This window comes from Homo sapiens, chromosome 2 (assembly GCF_000001405.40).
Source record: "Homo sapiens chromosome 2, GRCh38.p14 Primary Assembly".
Taxonomy (NCBI): Eukaryota; Metazoa; Chordata; class Mammalia; order Primates; family Hominidae; genus Homo; species Homo sapiens.
In genome coordinates this window covers 235,113,774-235,116,935 of record NC_000002.12, presented here as the reverse complement: position 1 = coordinate 235,116,935, position 3,162 = coordinate 235,113,774, and the positions used below count along the sequence as shown (strand labels likewise).

The 3,162-nt window shown below is 44.9% G+C and overlaps 1 annotated feature.

The window, feature by feature from the left end:
• Nucleotides 2,358–2,905: an enhancer, noted in NCBI's record as "H3K4me1 hESC enhancer chr2:236022675-236023222 (GRCh37/hg19 assembly coordinates)". NCBI's record gives its function as "activates a minimal SCP1, AML or CMV promoter by ChIP-STARR-seq in primed H9 embryonic stem cells {active_cell/tissue: H9 hESC(primed)}" and the evidence as "EXISTENCE:reporter gene assay evidence [ECO:0000049][PMID:30033119]".

Genomic DNA, 3,162 nt, shown 5'->3' with positions numbered 1-3,162 from the left:
CCTGTACCATTTGATAAGGAGAAGAGAAACTCCTGTGTAGGAATTCAATAAAATTTGTCCTTCTCCAGAAAAAACTTCATACTATAATTTTGAAAAAAATAAAATATATATTGACATAAACTTCACCTTTGTATTAACTCTTCCTAAGATATATGTCATTTTCAATGAAAATCTATGAAACCTTTGTCAAAATTGACCTGGAATATGAGTGAAATGATAATAATTGTGGGTTTTACAAATTAATTTGAAATAATTTAGAATGTATCAAGCACTGGTCGATGAGGGAAGGATATAAACAACACACAACTAAGGGCTGCTGCCCAGGAGGCACCAACAATTAAAGGCTGAGATCGTGGTAAGCAGATCCAAGGAATGAAAGGAAAAAAAAGAAGGTGTTTGAAACAAACTCTTGGAGGCCCCAGAGTCTGCAGTGAACACAAAAACTGCAGGGGCTGGAAGCAGAGGAGCAGGGGCAAGTCGTGGGGGAGAGGATGGCTTGGCCTGCAGGATGGGAGCATCGGGAAGGACCACGGGGTGAGAGAGGCAGAGCTTCACTTTCAGGAAAAGTGGGAGCTAAGGCATGGCTGGAGAGGTGGCTTCGCATTATGGATGACCTTGAGTGCAGAGCCAAAGATGAGAGATGTGGCCAGATGAGGCACGATGACAGCAGCATCAGGTGGGGGTGTGCGGGTGGAAGGGGACTGAGCTGAATGTCCCTGAGTCTCAGACCAGAGAACCAGGCTCAGCCAATACTTTCTCATGCTCACATCTCTGGTCAAGTCACAGAAGGACTCACTTCCACCACCTCCTCTATGCTGCAAACGAAATGCCACCCACACGGTACCCTTCTTTGTTTGAGTTATGTAAATTAAAAATAGTGTGATATAGGAAAGATTAATAAAATCTCACTCCAAATGAGATGGATCTTCTCCAAACTAGGAAGAAGAATCACTGAGAATTGCATACTGTAATTTCAAAGCTTGCAAGCAGAGTCCATTCTAGCTTGTCTTTATGCTATTGTCATATGGCAGGAATAGTTCCACTGTGTACAGAAATTCCTACCCATCCTTTAAAAAATTATATGAATATTTTAAAATTTCAAAGCCGCTTGCAAGCTTTGAAATTACAGTATGCTATTCTTGGTGATTTTTTTTCTTAGTTTGGAGAGAATCCATGTCATTTGGAGTGAGATTTCATGAATCTTTCCTATATCAAATTTACATAGCTCAATATAAAACAATAGACTTTCAAAAACAGATGCGTCATTAATTATCATTCAGCTGATTTTCTCTGCCATGTGAAATCCAAATATATCTCAATGGTCCACGTGGCCCATTCTCACCATGGTGTCATCCAAAGCATGCGAAGTAACTGTAATGCCAATCACAGTCATGTCTCTAAGAAAGTTAAATGACATATATTTCACACACGACAGTAATCCTTTTAAAATTCCTTTTCTTCTTTTCTTTTTTCTCCCTCTCTACAAGCCCCTAAACTTTTCTGAAGCCTACCCATTTGCTTTTTCTGTTTCTTCTCTGCTTTGCTTTTTCTGCGTTCTAAGTCAGCTTAGCCTTTCTACTTTCTTTTAGGTTTCTTTCCTCTACAACCGTGAGCAGATTCTCCATAACCAGTGAGATCTCAGATCTGACTCAGGAAAGGGTGTCTTCACCATGTAGCCAACACTTTTATTTTTTATTACCCTTGCTTTGTTATATAATATTTTAACATAAGGCTTCAACTACCTCCATACTACTTTGATTTTTTTCCTCCGCATCATTCTTAATGTTTTTCAGTGGCCTCTTCTAAAATAGCAAGTAGTATAATAGTGCTTCTTTGGCCTCCTCACCATTGACTTTTTTGTGTTTTTTTGGTTTTTTGTTTGTTTTTTGAGATGGAGTTTCACTCTTGTCACCCAGGCTGGAGTGCAATGGCACAATCTTGGCCCACCACAATCTCTGCCTCCCAGGTTCAAGCGATTCTCCTGCCTCGGCCTCCCAAGTAGCTGGGATTATAGGCGCCCGCCACCATGCCTGACTAACTTTTGTATTTTTAGTAGAGATGGGGTTTCACCGTGTTGGCCAGGCTGGTGTCGAACTCTTGACCTCAGGTGATCTGCCTGCCTCGGCCTCCCAAAGTGCTGGGATTATAGGTCTGAGCCACCGTGCCCGGCCTGTCACCACTGACTTCTGATTTAAGGACACAGATTGTCACACAGCAACGGTACCACCACTTCTCGATGGCTTAGATGACGTTCCCATAGGAGATAATAACGATGTTAAAATTGCACGACAATGGTTGCTCACAGAAGTTCAGATGCAAACGAACAGCCACGTGCTTCATATTATTCTTTTAAAAGCTGGGTAGGAATTTCTTTTCAGTGGAAGTATCCCTAGCATATGACGACAGCACGAAGACGAGTCAGAATTGGCTGTGCTTGCAAGCTTTGAAATTATAGAATGCAATTCTCAGTGACTGTTTTTCTTAGTTTGGAGAAGATCCATCTCATTTAGAGTGAGGTTTTTAAAATCTTTCCTATATCACACTATTTTAATTTACATAACTCAAACACATCGAAGGTGGCGTTTCCTTTGCGGCATAGAGGAGGTGGTGGAAGTGAGTGAAAGTGTGCTGGATAAAGCCCAAAAGAGTCTGGAATCAGATCCCAAGAAGGACCCAAAGCAGGTGGGGCTGGGTGGAGGTTCGGGCTCTGCCTAGGGTGGGAGGAAGGCAACGGGCAGAAGGGCCCAGCAGAGAGCACTGGGAGTGCCGGGGCAGGTCCTGGTCCTGCCACCATCCTCTCCCTGCCCCGCCCCCTGCACGGACCCAGAAGGCGCTGGGCCCATCCCTCCATCAGCTCCCTGCCTGCAAGAGTCCTCCTGGCTCTGCCGCAGGCTGTTGCAGGGCTTAAGGGCTGACCTCTGGTGGAGCTGCCTGCACTTCACACCACCTGGATCACTACCACCCACACAGAAGCGGGGCTGCTGGTCTTGGAGATGAGGGGCCTGGGAATAGGCTGAGCGGCTAGTGAACACATGGCAGGGCAAAGCCCCTCTGCTGGTATCAAGTCTCAGCAGCCACGAATCACGCACAGGCAGGCTCCGTCGCGCTCTGACTTCACCGGACAGCCCCCACCGGGGCCATAGACACCTCTATGAGGAGTGT